The sequence below is a fragment of the Homo sapiens genome, chromosome 5 (assembly GCF_000001405.40).
Source record: "Homo sapiens chromosome 5, GRCh38.p14 Primary Assembly".
Lineage (NCBI taxonomy): Eukaryota > Metazoa > Chordata > Mammalia > Primates > Hominidae > Homo > Homo sapiens.
In genome coordinates, this window is record NC_000005.10 from 53420856 (window position 1) to 53441770 (window position 20915).

A 20915-nucleotide genomic window follows, 5' to 3' on the forward strand; every position below is an offset into this window, starting at 1 on the left:
TGCACACTTATGCATCCTCAGAGCCTGGCAGAGACCACTCAACAAATACTAATCTCATGAAAAAAGGAAGGTCTAGACAGACTTCATAGTATTGATAGAGATACACACCTGCTTCATAGAAACTCAAGAGGTACAGCTTCAATAAAAAAGAACAGAGGAAAAGCAAAAGAAAAAATCATTGAATACACTTTACATCAATGCAACCCAGTTACTATCAGAAAAGAACAATTAGAAGCAGAGCTCTCTGAAATTAAAAAAGCGAAGAATGGGATTACTTCATTCAAGTTATGTCTTTGAAATTAAAAACAAAAGAACTACAAACAGTAATTGTTAGTCAGAGACTAATAATAATAATTTCACTTACTGAGCATCTAACTTGGGCCATGTACATCATACATTATCAATACCTCTTTCAACAACCCTGCAGGGCAGATAGGTATTAGGATTCTCATTAGAAAAGGAAAAACAAACATGAAACAAATGGCTAGTTTAGAGAGGCAGAACAGGGATTTAAACCCAGGTTTGTCTGACTTCAAAGCACAACCTTTTCTCCAATGCCACACTGACTAACCTGTTGTCTTTAACAACAACATAAAAAAAAAAAAAAAGAAAGCAAAAAAATAACCAGGCTCACTGACTACTACCAATGGAAGTTAAGGTAGCTCTTTGACTCCTCTATCATCTACCTGGGCTCATGGGTGCAAGTATTATCAGATTGGCTCAGTGCCCAATCACAGGCCTGCTAGAGCCAGGGACTTGATATGGTTCATCCCTAACTGTACAATGCTCTTTTGAGGGGTGTGGAAAAAATACAACTGGGTTAAGGCTCCCTTAGCACTAAAGTCTATAAATTTTGGGGATGTATACGATTTGACTGGACAAGGGCAGAGAAGAAAACAATGAAATATTTACATTTCTTTAAAAACAGTAAGTTAAATTTATTCTCCCCTCTGTTTGGTGTATAGATATACCCAAAGGGTCCATTTTTCTGTACATCATGATTTTTTTATTCTACAGCAACATTCATCTCTATATGAGAGTTCCAAACTGTAATAAAGGACTTTAATGGGAAAGAGAAGAAAAGGAAATTATCCTCCATGCTCACATATGGCCACCAACCACACAACCTTCCAAGAAAAAAATCATCTCTAAACTACAGATTTCGTGTTTTAAGGATGTTGGAAACAGTGTGCTGAATAGCATCATTTGACTACTCAGTGCTGGACAACACTAAAATTCTAATGAAAGGAAAAAGCAAAAAAAAAAAAAGAAGAAATTCTCTTCAAGAGGCTTACCATTAAACTCGTAAGCTATTCGATCCTTCATTGCAATCAGTAAGAAATTGTAGCTTTTTATTTCTTAAAATTTCATAGCTTTTGAAAGCATTTCTATTTTCTTGCTTGTCATTGAAAACTTGTCTTAAAATTCAAGTTAGGTAGGATTTTAGTAACTTCCACATTTCAGCTTTGTCCTGGCATTGTGGAGGATGCCAAGAACTCTAAGATGTGTCTCTTTCTTTCACAATCCTGGTTCTCAAATTTGAACACGCACCTGAATCATCTGGAGAGCTTGTTAATTAAAATACAGAGTGCTACCCCCTACCCCTGGAATTTCTAATTCTGCAAATCTAGGGTGGAATCTAAGAAATTACAGGTCTAACAAACTCTCAGGTGATGCTAATGTTATGGTCCAGGGACCACACTTGGAGAACTTCTGCTGGAGAACTGAGTCTCTAGTCCTGGTAAAGAAGCAAGACAAAAACATGTATGAAGTAAAGGAATTGTATGCAGCAGCATAAGCTCAGAAACCAACTCAGAGAGACAATTGCTGTAAGAACTCTCAGGAGGGAGTAATCCCACAGGCAGAAGTCATCAGAAAGGAAGTGAGACTTGGCAGGTTCTCACTGAATGAGTAGGAAGACGAGGAAGAAAGGCATCACAGACCAGTGTACATGTGTTGTGTTCACATAGCAACCAAGCCACCATAAGGAGAGCTTCTCCACTGGCCAGCGGTTTGAAAAAATATACCAGGGCAGTGCGTGCAGAGAACCATCAAATAAGACTAAAGGATCAATGGGCCTTAGGAACCACTGAAGGTTGTATAGTGGAAGGGTGATTGTTTAGGGAAGATTTAGTGATGTTTTAGTGAGGATTAAAAAGCAACAACATACACATTGGATTGGTGCAGGGAGAAACCAGACAGAGGGAGGGTGCCAGCTACAGGGCAAATGCTATGATCCAGACAAAAGCTTGGATCCAGACAAAAGCTTGAGAGAGGTTGAGGCAATGGAAATCCTGAGAGAGAGACAGACCAAAGAGGTAGAGGATTTAGTGACTTACCTGATACGAAGGCCAATGCGACGGAGAGAGAGGGGAGTCAAAGTTTACTGAGGTTATGAACCCTATGACTGGGAGGAAAAATATAACAAAACATTTCATTCTGTTGAACTATGCCCAAGTAATTCTGCTGACAATATGATATCACAAGGTACTGACTTTTAGGGAGGAATGGGAGAGTCTATTTTGGCAAGTTTCAAACTTTCCCTAATCTTACAGGGTCAGGATTTCAAGTCTGAATCTCATTTGTGTCCAAACCCATTTAAACTCTTTAATAAGTGATTTCCTGTTTTAAAGAGGAAAAATGTATATTTTTAAAATTATTCAAAGGACTTAAATACTTCTTAGACATCAAACAAGTCTCAAGAAATAATATTTTGATGATTTAAGTAAAATTAAACAAAAACATATGGAATGAATTTCTTTCAAACATACATCATGTTTAGAAAGTGAGGGTAAGACTGCTTCATAAAATGAATTTGCTGTTCTATCAAACCCAAAATGGCTGAAAAACTCTTCAAACATTTACAATTCAGCCAGATTTGTCCTACCCTGACTTCTATGCTATTGAATATCAGAATCTTTCAAGGTCATTTTACTTTTTTAGTCAATGAATCATGACATTGGTTTCTACAAGATGTAATATTTATGGACTGTTTTGACATGTGTATCAGCAAAATAAGAGAATTCAGTTGAATCAATTGAATGCTCTGATGAGAGGTTCCATACACTTCCAAGATTGCCCATTGCTGACAGTAACCTATGATCGTGGTTTTCACATTTGGCAAGAGAGACTGTTCTGAGCAAACCCTCCTCCCTGAGGAGCTATGAGGAAGCTGACTAGCTTGCTAACTGTGGCCCACCTAGCATCTTTACCACCAACCTACACACACAGAAAGAGAGTGAGAGAGCAGCAAAGATGTATTATGGCTTTTGTGTCATACTCATCATACTTTATTTCCTTTCAACAGAAACTCCATTACCTTCGTCTTAGATTACGGCATCCCCTAAACCCTGTAATTTATCTTCCCATACCCCTCATTGATTCTAGCCTTGTACTCTGTCAAAGCATGGCTCCTCCTCTGCAAAAATACGTAATAATGGGCTATTCATTAGACAAACAAATCTGTGATTTTCTTCACACCTGAGCAGGAGAAAGAACTTTATGGGTCACTTGGTTCAGCCCCCTTATTATCAGCCGAGTGAAGAGAGCTCCTCTATGGGACACAGCTGGTCAGTAGCCAACCCAGGATTAGCGTGCAAGTCTGCTAATTTCCCATCCAATTTTTTCCTCTTTACACACACTATCTCTTGGACACCTGCTTTTTACAAATGACTGCATTACTCCCAAGTGACTGTTCTTTTTCTTAAGACAAAAAGGAACCATTTCCCTGGCTGATTGATTGTTCATCATTTGCTCTCAACTTTCTGCAAAACTATCTCAGTTAAAACATTTATGGTCATCCTTCCTAGAGACACTGAGGGCAGGGGAGGTATTGTTGGTCAGAAGAGCACTTCCATGGTGTTCATATCATATTTCATGATTTACTACTGCTGACTCAACTAATGCCTAAGGCCATATCTCTTCCACATAACTACGCTCAGTTTAGGATGGTGATTTGCAACCAGGGGATATTTCTGCCCCCCAGGGGACATTTGTCAAAATCTAAAGACATTTTTGGTTTTTACAACTAGAGCATCCTACTGGCATCTAGTGGGTAGAGGTCAGGAATGCTGCTAAACATCCTACAATGCATAAGACAGCTCCCTGTAACAGAATTATCCAGCCTCAAATGACAATAGAGCCAAGTTTGAGGTCATGTGTTAGGAGAGGGGGCTGAAGTAGACATTAGTACAAGAATTTCAGTATATCGCTAGGTTTCAAGATAACAGCTAGATCCTTCGGTCTTGGAGCATTCATTCAGCAGCTATCATGTGCCAGGCATTACTCTAGGTACTGCTGCCAAATTTATAATCTGATTGTCCTCCTGCCTAGATATTAGAAACATAGAATGCTGCAGCCCTGAAAGATTCTGACACAGTGAAAGATAAGCGTCTTCAGCCAGATATGTTCCTAAGCCTACCACATTACAGACAAATAAAACGCTGAACCCGTTGGAAGGCATGGTGTAGTTCACTCATTCCTGGGATCAACAGCAGCCATTTGGACCTGGTGGAGAACTTTCAAAGATGAATGCGGTGTCAGTGCCCTGAAGCCATCCAAGAACAACTAGACAGGCATCTGTAAAGAATGCTTTGCAAAGTGAAAAACGGCCACGTGGTTTCTTTTGTTGCTGTTGTCATTGTTCTGCCAAGTGAAAAGCAAATGATGCTTTAAATATTTCAAGAAAGAAAAATTTCCCTTTGATACTACATCTTACTTACTTTCACCAAAATGTCATCCTGTTAGGCTGGGTGCTATCAGGGACATATCAAAAGCCTCTTTTATCAGTGTTATTTCTACTTTGAACATATTCCTTTAATTTAAGTCAGTATGGCTGGTTTGTATTAAAATATTGGAAAGGTTCTTAGGTTTCAGACTGATAGTAAATCCATAAAAAAACAAATGGCTTTTCCATTTCCGGGAAATCTAATTAAATGTTGTGAAAACAAATGTGCTCTGGTGTGGCATATAATGGAATAATATCGAAGAATAAATCTTGGGTTTCTGTTGTTTGGTAAGCTCTTTGAACTCTGGAGAATGTGAGAAAAATACCTTCCCAAGCTAGGGATCTGGGAACAGGGAGATAAGGAATGACAAATACTCTCTCAAAACTACTCCAGATTCTCCACACCATAGAAACCTAAATCAAATTAACGGAAGACCTCTAACATAGCTCTCCTGCCGGGTGGCAAATTTTGTATCCAAGAGGTTTTCTCCTTATAGTCCCTACCAGAATCCTCAAGTGAAAAAAAAAAAAGAAAGAAAAAAGAAAATGTGTCTCAGCCCCTCCCCCACTACCACCACCTCACACTCAATCCAACTTGGTAATGGTGGATCCCACCACAAGATGGCGGTCATAGTTTATCTTTGTTTTCAGTGCTTATCTCGACAAAATATTTGTGAGGCTCAGTGGTGGTGCTTCAGGGGTCTCTTTGAAAGTACATGGGGTGTTGTAGTACTCCATAATCTACATGGGTTCCTTTCTTCCCAGCCCACATGTGATCTAAACAAAAACAAAGTGTTCGCTGTGTAAACACAGCTTCCAGGGAAATCCTCTTCCAACCAGAGGGCTGCTTATAAACCCATTCTATAACAGAAATTTGATGCCAATAGGTAGGATTTCTATTTTTTACCGAAAATAATTCCTTGTGACTTTTGTCTCACCATTTACAAGCTTTTGCATGTACTATCATATTTCATGGTTTATCATATTTCTGACACCCTCCCCCTGCCCTGGGGCCCCTTACTTAGCACCGTTTCAGAGCCAGAAAGGAGGCCTGTTGAGCTTCTCTGTACTGACCTGAGCAATAAATCCTGCCCACCCCGTATCTCCTTTCTGGCCTGTATCAAGGGGATTGTGCTTTAAAAGAAATAAGCCTACCTACTCTTCTGCCAGCCTAAATCCAAGGGGAGATCACTCTCAGTAAGTTTCATCCACCCATCTTGCTTTCCAATTGAAGAAGAGAATTAATTATCAGTGGCTTTTGTACAAGTTGACTTTTATAATTTACCATCAAGATGTACATCTGCCCTTTTCCTGGACATAAGTCAAGCACTTACTATCCTACTAATTCCCCCAAGTCTCTATAGTTCATCTTAAACTGCAGCACTGATGTGTTAAATTACTTCCCTGACATAACTGGCAGATAGCGATCTCAAATCTCTGGCAGATAGAAATCTCATTGTGAGCCTCTTCAGCTGGAGCGGCCTCCTCACCTAAGTAACATCACAGTTGCATCCTGTCTAGTCCTTTCTCATAATGCCACTTGGTGCAGCTGTGTCTGTGTGGCTCTATCTGTGTAGGTCTGAGTATGGCTCCTTGCATGTGTGTAGTGAAAGGTCATGGAAGCTGTCAAACAACTCTGATCCAATTGAGTGACAGCATCACTGCAAGTAAAGACATAGTGGGAAAAAAAAAAAAACATTCAATATTGAAATAATTACCTGAAAGACTGTTCTTAGTTCTTTGGCCTTCAGAACTGCTATAAGTAGTAATTTCTGACTTAAATATGTTAAGAGGCATATTTAAGCATAAAACACTAAGCTAAAACATAGTAAGCAACTTTCAATATATTGCGGGTTTGCTACCAGAGAGTTGAACTTTTATGCTATTTTCAATCTTTCTCCCTCTGAGATGACTGAGCAATCCAATATTCTTAAGTAGGCAGTTTGTCTAACATGACAGTATGAACATCTTACTGCTTTTATTTTCTTTGCAAATCTGCATTCCCTCCAACCACCCCACCCTTAGGAGGGCAGGGACTCTATATTGTACAACTTTGAGACATCAACACCTAGTGTGATGCCTACATAATGTCAATGGATGATAAATGCTTTTTAATTAAATTAAACAAATGACTCTGCAGAGCTCTTCTCAATTAAAAAAAAAGTTTATAAAACTGAGCAAAAGATATGACCAAAAATATATAAATCTCCACTAAACACATAAAAAGAATTTCACCTATACTATATATCAGGGAAATGCAAACCAAAACAATAAAATATTTTTCATCTATCGGACATCATTTAATTTAAACAATTATTGAAATGTTACATCTTGACAAGTAGAAAGGACACTCATAGTATAAATTGATTCAATTTGACATTGTCTATCCAAACTTGAAATGTGCATACTCTTTGATCTAGTAATTCCATTTTGAAGAATCCATATGGGAAAAAAACTCAATATGTGCACAAAAGTAGAAGATTCAATAAAGCATGGTTTGTTATTGAAAAAAATTGAGAAAGCAAATGTCCATTAATAAAGAAATGGTAAATAAATAATAGTGCATCCATATGATGCAACACTGAGGCAACATCAAAAAGAATGAGGTAGACTTTTTACTCATTTTGGAAAATCTTCTACATCTAATTAAGGAGAAGAGCAAGTTAACAAATAACAAAGACATAATCCCATTTGTTTTCTTTTCTTTTTTTTTTCCAGAGGGGCCATATATGGGTATATGTGTGCAAAGTAGACTTTATTAAAGAGTACTCAGGTTGGACACAGAGGAAGGGGACATTATAGCAACTTAAATGATTTTGAGCTAAATGTTATTCTTCTCTTTATGAGTCTTAGTAGGATGTTTACACTGACTGCCTTACCTTGTGTAGTGGCCCCCAGCCCCATGCCTTCTCAGTGGTTTTTCTCGTTTCTCAGTTTTTTTTTTAAGTTAATGCGTGTATATATGAAGCTATGAAATGCAATTATCTTTTTTTAATTTTTTTCTTTCTACTGTTTTTGTTTGGTAAATTAGAAGATTTTAATTTGCCTTGCTCATCAGATTCACTCAGCTTGTCATAGTGACTGGAAATACTCAATAATGGCTACATAAATGGATGGATAGAGGAACACAAACAGGCTCCCTTTTTTTCTTAGTTGCCAGAATCTCTAAAGGTGTTTATTGAAGATGGTTTTCACACCTTAGCCACGGAGAATGAAGAGGAGGTATCTGCATTTTAATAAGGAATTATGAAAGACAGAAAGAAAGGAATTTTAGCATGGAGTTTTGTTTGCAAGACACCTTCAGTAAAATATTCACTGAATGAATGACAAATTTCTGGTGTTGGAATTGATATAAAGGAGATATTTAGGGAGATTGAGTCTTTCCAGTATCTTAAAAATAATTATTGGAACAATTCAGGAGGACATTTGTTAAAAGATTTAAAAATCACTTATAATCTATCATTCTTACTCCTTTCTTTCCTATTTTCTTTAATAAGTAATGCCTGGTTACATTTTTGTTTTAGATTCAAACCGTACAGATGTTTGAATAGATAAAAATAAAAGATAAACAACTCTTTATACCCCTATTTCCACTCCCCTCCCAGAGGAAACCATCAGCCAATTAGATGTGTGTTTTTTTCTAGTACCCCCTCTGCATCTTACAGCTATCTATGTACATGTGCTCACTTTTTATTTTTGTCCAGATCTCCAAGGGGAAGTCATACCTAAGAAAATTACTAAGAAATTGATCCAAAATTTGAAACTTATTGTTGGAAGGCTGGTATTAGGGAAATGGTGTTATGTAAATAACTCATAATAACCTAAATTCATGCATGTAGGACTCACACAATGTGAGGACTACTTACATATATCATGAACCACTACCCTCTTAGAAAACTGAGTTTTCAGTGCACTGGTCTTTCACATGCTTTTAAAAAAAAACAATATTTCATAATGGATAGGGATATATAAATGTGGAGATAAAAATTGAGATTAATCAAAAAGTCTAGAGACTTGGCAGTAGGGGAAAGAGAGAATAAGAGAGAAATTTGGAAGAAGGCAGAGAGGCATGCGTAGAGCTAGGAGACCAGTTAGGTGTCTAATAGCCAGGCAAAAGAAGGTGGTAGCTAGGGGTAGAGATGTAGGAAAGTAGACAGACCATGGGGGTATATTTGGTAAGTAAAGTAGAGGGAATTTGATGAGGAATTATGCAGGAAAGGGGAATGTCGAGGATGAAGCCTACATTCCTAGGCTCGCATGACCAAATGGATGGTGTTGACTTTTGCTGAGTCATGGAGCACTGGAAGACAAGAAATGCGGTGGAGGGCAAGCAATGGCGCTCATGAGGTCAATCCTCAATAGACTAAACGGTCTTTCAAACAGCTAACTAGAGATTCTGAATAGGAGCTCAGAACAGCCTCATAGGCTGGAAATGTAAGCACAGAAATCACTGACCTCTAGATGTATGTGAGGTGATGTCAAGTGGGACAGACAGCTGCTGAGTAGAAACAGAAATGAGTGGTGGTGTATGGGGCTCAGAAAACAATACTCCAACATGAAAGCCTTAGAAGCAGCTCTCTCTGACTTTTTCCTTCCCTCCTGCCTCTGGCCCCTCATTTTCCTTGGAGGCTAGCCACAGAAACTAGAATCCCCCTTCCCCAAGGCAGGTCATAGAAGCCAGAACCCCTTTTCTCCAAAGCCAGCCATAAAACCTAAAAACCACTCCAGGTTTTCCCCCACTTTCCTGTGTAAAAACTGGCCATAGATAAATTATCTGACTTACCCTATTTGACTGTAGGTCATAAGATCCCCATTCCAGAAAGAGCCCTGCCACATACACAGAAGAAAGAAATGCATGCTCAGAGATGTCAAGAAGAATCTAGATGAACAAGCCTTACTGGGCTTCACCATTCAGTCTGTTAGCATTAGATCATACCTGTTTTGTCCAATCGCATTTCTACACAACTATCTGTACTTTGTTGAACCTAAACACAAAAATGGACAGTTTTCTCCTGTATCTTTGAGTCTTCCTTTTGAAGGCTCCCATGTCACTTAAAACTATGATCAAATGAATTTTTACGCCTTCTCTTCTATTAATCTGCCTTTTCCCGGTGATTTTCAGTGAGCCTCCAGAGGGCAACGGGGAGGTTTTTTTTTTTTTTTTGGCCCCAACAGGGGTCAGTGACAAAAATTACCCAATTATGACAGAACCAGATCTGGTAACCATAAAGTCCACTGAGATAAGGCCCAACTGCCCTCTAGTGGAATTCAAGCCATTTTAACAGCCTGCAACAAGAAATACATTAAGCTGATTTTCACATGACTGTGAGCAGAAACGCCCGTAGGCTTTCTGTGAAGAAAAAAAGTACCTCAAGGCAAGATGCTTACCTCTCTCTACAAGGCTGTCAATAAAATTAAGTTTCTCTATTAGTGGAACTTTTAAAAATACAGTGAATCAATAACTGAGGTTTTGAAATACCTGTCTGCAGTCTCTTTTCCAAAATTCAAACATCTGAAAGTTTCTAAAAACCAAAACTTGTTTGTTTGTTTTCTAAACTCACTTGGTGGCAAAACCTAACTTGATTTGAACTCATTTGGTGGCAAAATCTGACCTGAATTTCTAATTATTGACTATGTCTGCTGGTCCAGGCCCAGATGAGAGTGTTACATAGTAAATGCACCTCATTGCCTCTTTAAAAAAATCTAAAATATCTTTTAACAAATCTCAACTCTAAAAATTCTAAGTCTCATGTGTCCCTGAGGTTTTTATTTAAAGGATCAGGCAGATTACCAATGGCAGAAGATATCATAACATTCGATTTCTTTTTTTATTTTTTTTTCTCTTGAGACGGAGTCTTGCTCTGTCACCCAGGATGGAGTTCAGTGGCACGATCTTGGCTCACTGCAACTTCCGCCTCCCAGGTTCAAGCGATTTTCATGCCTCAGCCCTCTGAGTAGCTGGGATTACAGGCACCCACCACCACTCCCACCTAATTTTTGTATTTTTAGCAGAGACAGGGTTTCACCATGTTGGCCAGACTTGTCTGGAACCCCTCACCTCAGGTGATACACCCACCTCAACCTCCCAAAGTGCTGGGAATACAGGCGTGAGCCACCGTGCCCAGCCTGAATTTTTAATCATAGGGATGTTCAAAGAAGGAAACTTACCCTGAGTCATTTAAACAAAAACATATGCAGGCTCAAGTTATCTAAGATTCAGCAGAAGTGCAACAGGGAATCAGCAAAATACACAAGTACTAAAGTTTAACTTTTCCAGGATTTGCCATTGAATGGGCTGCCACTGTCCTGATAACGTGTGTGTGTGCATCATGCTTATGAATCAGGAGGCAGGCATCGGCTGTACGTTCTTCACTCTTCCTGAGCTGTAAGCCAAGGCCACGGGTATCCATGCTTTGACATATGCAGGAAATACAAGTGCAGTGGACTCAGTAAGAACCTAAGTCCTAATCTAGTTCTCATCTTCATATAAATCTTAAAATCAGAAAAATCTAGATGAAGATTCTATACCATTTTCCCTTAAGAAATACATAATAAATAATAATAAGCATTTTCTACTAAAACCATGCCAAGGGAAAAATACTGCATGCTCTGAAGGGCCCCTCACTACTTACATGGAAAAATCTATGATAATCTCATTCCTTGTGTTTTTCCAATTGTTGCATGGCCCAGGGCCGGAAGCAAGCCAGGGCAGAAATATCATTGAAAATTTTTATTTTATCTATATGTACTAAAAACAGACTAGTTTAAAATGCAATGCACTCTCCAAAAAAGAAGTACCTTAAATTCATTTAGAATTGGAGACTTTTACATGATGTTTATTCATTCATTCAGCATATATTTATTATGTGGCTCCTAGGCACCAAGAATTGCTCTAGATACAATGAATAAGACAAAGTCCTCCTGATTCATGTATGGGGCAAAGAAGCCAGGTAGCATTATCTGCATTTTACAGATGCAGAAACAAGATTGAAAAACAATAAAGGTAGTAGGAGAAAAAGTTGCCTGCAAGCCTTCTGCCATAAGTCTCTCTCTACTGACCCATGGCCAGTGCTGTGCAGCATTCCCAGAGGCCAAGGCAGACATCAGAGATAAGGCCTAGAACATTTGCAAGGTGAGCAAAGGAGAAAGTCACAGAGTGAGCCAGAACAGATACCTCCTAGCCCCAAAGTGAGAGGAACAACACAATGGCTTCTTTTCGTAAAGAGGAAGGTATTGGGGAAGACTGATCCCAACACCAAACACATCAAAATCCAAACCTAGATTATTTTTAAATCTTCTTCTAGAATGGATAAGGTGGTAATATTCATTTATGACTAGTATAATTATTATGCTTTTCTTCCAGGTTTGCCTTAAGCTGAGCGTTCAAAAAATATATATATAAAGTAATCCTAAGAACAACATATCTTGATTTTACAGCCTTTCTTTTTCCTTGCCAAGAACCCTAGAGCATTTTGTGAGAGGGTATTAGATTCCTAATGAGCAGTAGCAAGATAGGAGGTGTTTCCACAGTCTCTTGGAATTTCGTGAAGAAAGTTAAAGGCAATGAAGAGGTCACCAAAGGCCACAGATCCATTGTGTAAAGTCTGTATTCATGCATATTTTATAGACAGGTATGGTAAGAGTTAGAAATGTTACAGTTCTGTGAGCTTTTGGCTCCTAAGGGATTGAGATGGGCCAAAAATGCAGGTAAACAAAATACCAGCTGAAAATTCCTCTACAAGAATGCTTTGGAATATCACACCTGGATTTTGGCTCCAAGCCACCACAAACAGAGTATTTGGGCTTACTGGCATTGAAACAAGAATATCTGTGGGAGTAATCAGGGGGAGTAGATGGCTTAGGGGGCTGATAATGGGATATATTTTGTCTCTTATCTTCTGGCTCAAATTCAGCCCAGGTGGAAAGTGACTAAAAATGGCTGCCTCATTGTGGCCTCTGGTCTTGGTAATTTCTACTCAGGTCTGGGTAAACAAAGATCCACCTCCCTCAGATAAAAGGCTCAAAAGAGAAACTTGGAGAAAATGTCTAACAGATCTGCCAAGAACTCAATGGGTCATAAAAAAAAAAAAGAAAAATAATAATAAAACCGAAAGAAAAAAGAGAAAGAAATGGGGGAACTAAAGCTTCCTCACCTTAACAGGTGGTTAGAAACTGGCACAAGAGCCGTTCTTGCAGTAAACCCATCTGGGGTCTTGAAGGAGGGCTCTTGTAAAGATGCAGTCAGTTAGGCATGAGAAAGTCAGTAACTAGATTATAACATATAGGGCAACATCTCAGCCTCATGTAACACTCAGGCAGAAAGAGAGGAGACACAGCTAGATTTAATTGAATACCTAATACACGAATGTTTGAAATCCTTTCATCAACTTGCTCATCAACATGTCCTTCATTTCCAACTTTCTGAGCTACAACCATCCTTCTGGGCTGGAGTTTCTCAGCCTCAACAGTGCTGCCATTTTGAGCTGGATAATTCTTTGTGGCTGCTGTGCACATGGTTGAGCAGCATATCTGGCCCTCCCACCAGATGCCAGTAGCAGCCCCCAACTTCCCCAAAACTGTGACAACCCAAAATGTCTCCATACATTGCCAAATGTCCCTGGGGGCAAAATTGCCCTTGATAAGAAGCACTGCTCTCCGATGAGGGACCAAGTAGAATAGTGAAGAGCATGAGCTCTGGAGCCAGCAGACCTAGGTGTAGGTCCGAATTTCACTTCCTGTCTGTGTGGCCTTGGGCAAACTATTAACCACCTTGACCCTCAGCATCCTTATATGGGCCACTATTACCCTGTTGTGGTCTTGGGAAGATTAAATGAGATATACCCTGGCACATGATAGGTGTTCAATTTTCAGTTTTCTTCCCTCCTGTTATCCACGACTCTCAATTTAGAGATATCTTTCATAGTATTCTAACCTCTCTCCTTCTCCTACTTACCATCAAATCTTTTTTTTTTCTTTTCCTCTGGTCTGCCTCCATGGTACAAACACTGAAGTGAAATCAAAAGACTTGGAATTATGCCATAGCTTTCTGCTTACTGGCTACATGAACTTGGACACGTTATTTAACCTGATTTTGGGTTCTCTGATATTAAATCAGTCTTATCATCTTGGTATCTACAAAACTGCATGAGGTTATCTCTTCCCTGCTCAAAAGCCTGATCTGGCCCTCTTTTGCTTTGTGAGTCATGCAAAACATGGATTGCAGGCTCCCTTTTCTTTACTCAACAAAATTTATATCTCACTAAGTTGATTTTCAAACATGCCTAGGCATCAAGATGTCTTGTGAAGATTTTCAAAACAAAACACAAAGGCTCAAGGCCCATCTGCAGAGAGTCTGATTTAATAGGTCCAGTGTGAGACTCAAGCAGCTTTATTTATTTATTTATTTATTTATTTTGGAGAAAGAGTCTCACTCTGTCACCCAGGCTGGAGTGTAGTGGCATGATCTCAGCTCACTGCAACCTCCACCTTCTGAGTTCAAGCAATTCTTCTGCCTCAGCCTCCCGAGTAGCTGGGACTACAGGCGCATGCCACCGTGCCCAGCTAATTTTTGTATTTTTAGTAAAGACGGGGTTTCACCATGTTGGCCAGGCTGATCTTGAACTCCTGACCTCAGGTGATCTGCGGGCCTCAGCTTCCCAAAGTGCTAAGATTACAGGCACGAGCCACCATGCCTGGCACAAGCAGCTATCTTTAAAAAAAAAAACAAAAAACAAAAACAAACAAACAAACAAACAAAAAGCTTCTCAGATGATGCTGATACATGGCCAGGATTAAGACCTACAGTCCTAGACTCTCAATGCAGTTAAGTGGACCTGCTTACCATCCCGAGCTCATGACTAACTCCCTCCTACTTCCAAAGGTTTGCCCAAATTACTGCCCCTACCTGGATTACTTCCCCAGCTTCTCTCAGCCAGTCTATGGCTTTTTCCTCTTTCAAAACTAGCTCCCTTTAAGAATCTTCCCACTTTCCTCTGGTACTGGGACTTGCTCACCCAAGCAAATTCTTAGTCCATGCATGATATGTGATGCTTAAAACTCAAAATTTATTTTTGAACAAAAATAACCAGCCTTCCTAGAGAACACTGAAGACAGGGGAGGTATTATTGGCCAGAAGAGCACTTCCACAGTGTTCATATCATTAGGCCTCAGAGAAAAAATTCTGGAAGGACTTCTACAAAGGATATTACAAATCAGAACATCAGTTTGAACTCTTCTTGTTTAACTGATGTCAAAGATAGTTTATGAGCCATACGTGAAGGACCACGTTGTTAAAGTTGAAAAAATAAAACTCTACAATTCATTTTTATCAACACACCTTGCTCATCATCCTTGGCTCTAAATATCTATTAGAACTTTCTAAATATTAAGCCCACCATTAAAGGATGATTTATTATTCTGGGTAATATGAAGAAATTGTACCACATGATCTGAACAAAACTTCAAAAATATTTTGAGCAACAGCAATGTTATTGGAATAAGTGTGCAGGCTTCCAAGCCAATTACTTGGGTGGAAACGCTCATTTGAATAAACAAATTATGACACATTTTCATTGTAAAAAGTTGTCACTATCCAACACAATATCTTAATAGTTTAATTACTGTTACTAACTCAAAGTCTGTTTGATTAGAGTGGTAGTTCTCAATGAGGGGACATTTGGCAATGTCTGGAAACATTTTTGATTGTAACAACTTGGGAGAAGGGTGCTACTGGCATCAACAGAGTAGAATGTAGAGGCTCAACATCCTATAATGACGAAGACAGCTCCTCCTTCCCTTCAACAAAAAATTGTCTGACCAACAATGTCAATAATGCCACTGTTGAAAACACTAGATTAAGTGTTTCTATGCCTCTGTGACATATTTTCTTGTATATTTTGGTCTGTCTCCTCTCTGTAGTAGGAATTTCTTCTTCCTCATACTACTCAGTGCAAACCCATATAGATAAAAGCAATGACAGAAATGCTACGTGACTAGTTAGCAAATTTTCTCTGTAATTGGAAATCCCCATTAATCAGAAGTCATTGTCCCAAGAAGGCATGACAGACAACAGCATAATGTCATGACTGCAAAGGTGGACTCTGGAGCCAACCTTCCTGGGTAGAAATCTCAGCTCTGCCATTTATTTACCAGCTCTGTGACTTGAGGCAATTTACTTACCTTCCTCATGCTCTAGTTTCTTCATCTGTAAAATGGGAACAACACTATCTCTTATCTCATACTATTTTTGTGAAGGGAAAATAAATTGTTAAGTGTTTCTTAAATGAAGTGCTCGGTAATCATTAGTTTTATTATTTTAAGTAAAAATCATTGCAAAGGTTAAAATGCTACACACTGGCAGAGAGCACAAAGCCAAGTAAACTCATGATTAGTATCAATAGGTCATCAGAGCAGTGGCCCTTTATCTTGGCTGGACATCAGAACCACCCAGGGAGCTCTGGAGGGGAATAAAACTTAATGTCCAGGCAACACTCTAGACCAATTAAATCAGAATTCCTAGAGATGGGACCCAAATGTTAGTATCTTCTTAAAGCTCTCTATGTGATTCCAATGTGTAGCTTAATTTGAAGATTACCACATTAAAGTTATATAAAAAGACTGTCTCTAAGTGGGATGATAAAAAGAGGGCCTATTAAGAAAAGAAACAAAGGCTTGTGAAAAAAAGTAAGAGATGGAGAATAATCTTTGAGCTAATGAATAAATTTAGATTAATAGAGATACAGAGATAAGAGTACAATAGTTCCTATTATTTGAAGTATTTATAATCCCTTTGCCAATATAATATATAAGGTGCTATGGGAACAGGAAGGAAGAAGCACTGAAATATAGCCATGTGTGAAAGTGACTGTAAAGCAATTTATATAGAGTTCAGTGAGAAAGAAAAAGCTCTGTAGAAAGTTGGGGAGGTAAGAACATCCAACACCAAGAGTTTTCAACTGGAGATAGTCACCTAGGATAGAGTGACAAGATTTTCAAAATTAAAAAGCAATCCCAGCAATCCCACTGACAGTTCAATAACGAGTTCTGAGTAACCAAGGAAAAGCTATTTATTGTTGATTTTTTTAAATGTTAATTTCACAGATATTAAGTACCTTGTTTCCTCATCCCAGGAAGCGTGACAAACAAGACACACAACCTTAAAAACTGATTGACCTTACTGCGTCCCATGTTTCACAACCTTCTGCTGACCCTGTGCAGAATTACAATCCCCAACGAAACTCAACCACCAGTTTAAAAGCAGATCACCATGTAAATCTACTAATGAAAAGGAATGGATATTTTCTATTCTTACCCCCAGAATCAAATGTAGCAGATAATAATTTGTATCTCAAAGACTTTTTAACATTCAGGACCAAGCCAACTTTTAAGAGAGATAATAGCAAAAATCCCAATTTTCAGAAATTTTCTTTTCTTTTTTTTTTTTTTTTTTTTGAGACAGGGTCTTCTTCTGTCCCTTGGGTTAGAGTACAGCGGCACAATCACCACTCACTGCAGCCTAGACTGCCCGGGTTCAGGTGATCCTCCCACCTCAGCCTCCTAAGTAGCTGCTACTACAGGCACATGCCATCACGCCGGGCTAATTTTTTTTGTCTTTTCTGTAGAAACGGGGTTTTACCATGTTGCCCAGGCTGGTCTCAAACTCCTGGGCTCAAGCAATCCGCCGGCGTCCCAAAGTGCCGGGATTACAGGCATGAGCCACCGCGCTCGGCCAGAAGCTTTTATCCTATTGACCTGGATGTTGGTCTCCGGAACATCAAAGTTTTGTTTTTGTTTTCTTTAATTTTGCCTTCCACATTAACTTCAAAGTATGTGCAATCTTTACGTGGTAACCACTGAAAAAAGTGACTCTAAATACTGGGAGAAGTTTTCATTTTGTACATTTGGCTCTCCAAAGGCCTGTTAAACAGATCAAAACCTACATACGGGAGGAAAGCTACCCCCACTCACTCAAACAAAGCATGAGCCTTGATATCTTGTTTTATTTTTCTTTGTGCATCCTATTATGGACCTATGTAATAATGCAAGACCACCACACGGGGTAAGGAGCATGAATTATAACAGCTGTGGTCTCAGTGCAGGAACCACAGCACACTGTGAAATTCTCCATAGCTCTGGATCACAATTAGAGTAACACCTGTGCAAAACAGGTTTCTTCTGATCCCCTAAAAAGCCCTCTATTTTATGCAGGCCCAAATTGTGTTTGTTGTTCTTAAGCCAGTTCCCTGCCTCGGAATTTAGACAATCATTCAACTGCTTAATTTCATCCCTCTAAAGCAATCCAGAGAGTTCACCGGAGATATATCAATGAGTCAGTTCATTCCTGCCTCACCCAACCCTTCTCTATGTGACTCCCTGGGCAAGATAACTTTTACAGGGATGAAAAAGAATATCCTTTTTCTATGACACATAATGGCTTTTTATGAAGTCAAATCTTCCATTGCATTGACAGAGTAGGGGAAAGCTGGGCAAAGGATGTGATTCCTCCATTTCTGCAGGACATATTCCACCAGTAAAAAAGAAACAATTGCATGCCCCAAAGGAAATGGTTACCAAATTGAGGCAATCGCTTATGCTAAAAAAAAGTCTGTGGTTTCTGCTTTAAAAGGGTCAGAACAATGTCATTCTTGGACACTACTGAAAACGTGATTAAGACAACTCTGCAGAGGTCCACAATAGGGACAGGAAATGTCAGACTCAAATTTTCAGGCTCAATTATTCATCTCATAAATAAATTTTGAAGATGGGTTTGTCTTATGAAAGTTGAGAAGCACAGTGTTTAGCAATTATACAAACCCTAAGACTTGGCTCCTCAAAACCATTTCTGTTGGTTTTGGAATGTTGTCTGCATCCAAGTAGCTGACAAAGTTTTTTATTATTATTATTAATAACACAAGACTTTAAGAAAGGTATGAGCTCTTTGAGTGAGAAAAGAGACTCTGGCTTACTTCCATTTTTCCAGTCTTACTATGGACCAATGGCTGCTGATTTTCTACTTACACTTTGCCCTTGTGTCTTTTCTACTAATAATAATACATTAGTCAATCCAGGATAAATTCAGAGTCAGGATGTTGGGTCCTTTAAGAAGCCTTATAGAAACAATTGCACAAGGAAATTGGTTGAAATCTCAGTAGGTGATAATTGTAATAATTGTTCTCTTGGCCTGGCCACTGAGAGGACACCTACAGAACAGCTTATTGCTGTTACACATCCATCATAAAGTATCAGAGCCAGCATGCACCCCCTTGAGTCTTTAAGGAAGTTTCTAGTACTCTCATCGTTCTCATTGTTCAATATAGTCTAACACACTAAAATCTGTGAAGGCTTGTAAGAAACACCTGCAAGTCCTAGACCATGCCCTCTAGGGGCTTACATTTTTAGTCAGTAGACCACACTTACTTGTGCAATAAATGCACTTAAATTAAATGCTCACTGTGGGTTACACACCACGGGAGTTTCAGAAGTATAAAACTTGTCTCATCCTCATGAGGCAATGGACTTGGAGAGACAAGATATTTGCTAGAGAGGAGATCAACAAGGACTAGAAGCACCACAGAAAAGCTTAGGAGAAGGTGTGCCTGTAGCTAGGCCTTGAAAAATGGGTAAGATTTAGGTGGAAGGAAGACATTTGGACAAGAGGCTATGATAAACAAAGATGTAAAGGCAGGAATGAGGATGGCAGTCATGTGGGACTCAAAGAGGATTCCCCCACACCCTTCCTTTTTATTTTGGTCTTATTAGATCCATCTGATGGGGACAAGGTCAGAATTATTTGAAAGGATTTTGCCTCATCTGCATGGACTTCCTATGGAAACAGAAAGACAAGGGAGCCTTTGAGTGAGGGAACAGTGATAGTTCAGTGGATTGGAAACGTCTGTGTCCAGAAGAAAAAAAAAGGAGTGGAAAGGGTTGTAATTATAATACAGTGTGTAAAGTGCTGCCATGGAAACATACAGTCCTGGGGCCAGGAAGGTTCCCAGAAAGATATGACTCCTTTCTTTCACTCAGCTAGGTGACACACACACATACACACACACACACACACTCACACACACACACATGAACACACACATCATATCATACATATGTATAATTAGCTGCCAATTATACAGACTGTAAGGATGCAGAACACTCTGGGGACGTTCAAGTTTCTCATCCTTCTATCTGACCCCATACTCTCCTATCCATGTGCTCCTGTAATTCCAACTTAAACCTCCTCATTGGCTTCCACCAAAATCCACTCATGCCCCAGCATTTCTTGAATTTATTACCTTTATTACAAATTTAGACAGCCATGAAGAGAGATTGCATCTTAGAGCACATGACTTTCTGTCATCCAGGTGGATTCACCAGTACCAATCTATCCTTCCTTCTCTCCAAGAAGTGAGCAAGGTCTTTGCTTGTCTAGCTCAAAAGAGCTCTATCCCTATCAGGTATTGTGTTCTACTTGGGCAAGGGGATGATTATAAGCCCAAACCTCAACATTATACAATACACAAATATAACATATAACAAATCTGCACATGTGCCCCTTGAATCTAACTTTTTTAAAGACCTCTATTCATAATATTGAAAGCTCGTTCTGTACTCCAAGCCCTTTCTCAAAGACATTTGCCCGTCTAAGTGAATTCTGGTGAATGCAATTTTCCCCATCTTGTTAAGAGAGAGTAGAGTGGTGGTTGCTGAGAGCTGGTGGGAGGGGGAAATGGGGAGGTAACAGTTAAAAGGTACAAAATTTCAGTTATGTAAGATAAATAAGTTCTAGAGATCTACTACACAGCAAAGTGCCTACAGGTAATGATATTCTCTTATTGTATACTTAAATTTTGCTGAAAGGATAGATCTTATATATTTTTCTTTCTTTTGAGACGGAGTTTCACTCTGTTGCCCAACCTGGAGTGCAGTGGCATGATCTCGGCTCACTGCAGTGTCCACCTCCCGGGTTCAAGTGATTCTCCTGCCTCAGGCTCCCGAGTAGCTGGGCCTACAGGCGCGTGCCACCACAACCTGCTAATTTTTGTATTTTTAGTAGAGAGGGGGTTTCATCATGTTGGCCAGGATGGTCTCGATCTCTTGACCTCTTGATCCACCCATCTCGGCCTCCCAAAGTGCTGGGATTACAAGTGTGAGCCACCGTGCCCAGTGGATAGATCTTATATTAAGTGTTCTTACC

General features: G+C 39.3%; 2 annotated features.

The window, feature by feature from the left end:
• Nucleotides 1644-1938: a silencer, noted in NCBI's record as "tiled region #15081; HepG2 Repressive non-DNase unmatched - State 24:Quies, and K562 Repressive non-DNase unmatched - State 24:Quies". NCBI's record gives its function as "represses a minimal TATA promoter and a strong SV40 promoter by Sharpr-MPRA in HepG2 and K562 cells {active_cell/tissue: HepG2 | K562}" and the evidence as "EXISTENCE:reporter gene assay evidence [ECO:0000049][PMID:27701403]".
• Nucleotides 5164-5458: an enhancer, noted in NCBI's record as "tiled region #5487; HepG2 Activating DNase unmatched - State 8:EnhW, and K562 Activating DNase matched - State 12:CtcfO". NCBI's record gives its function as "activates a minimal TATA promoter and a strong SV40 promoter by Sharpr-MPRA in HepG2 and K562 cells {active_cell/tissue: HepG2 | K562}" and the evidence as "EXISTENCE:reporter gene assay evidence [ECO:0000049][PMID:27701403]".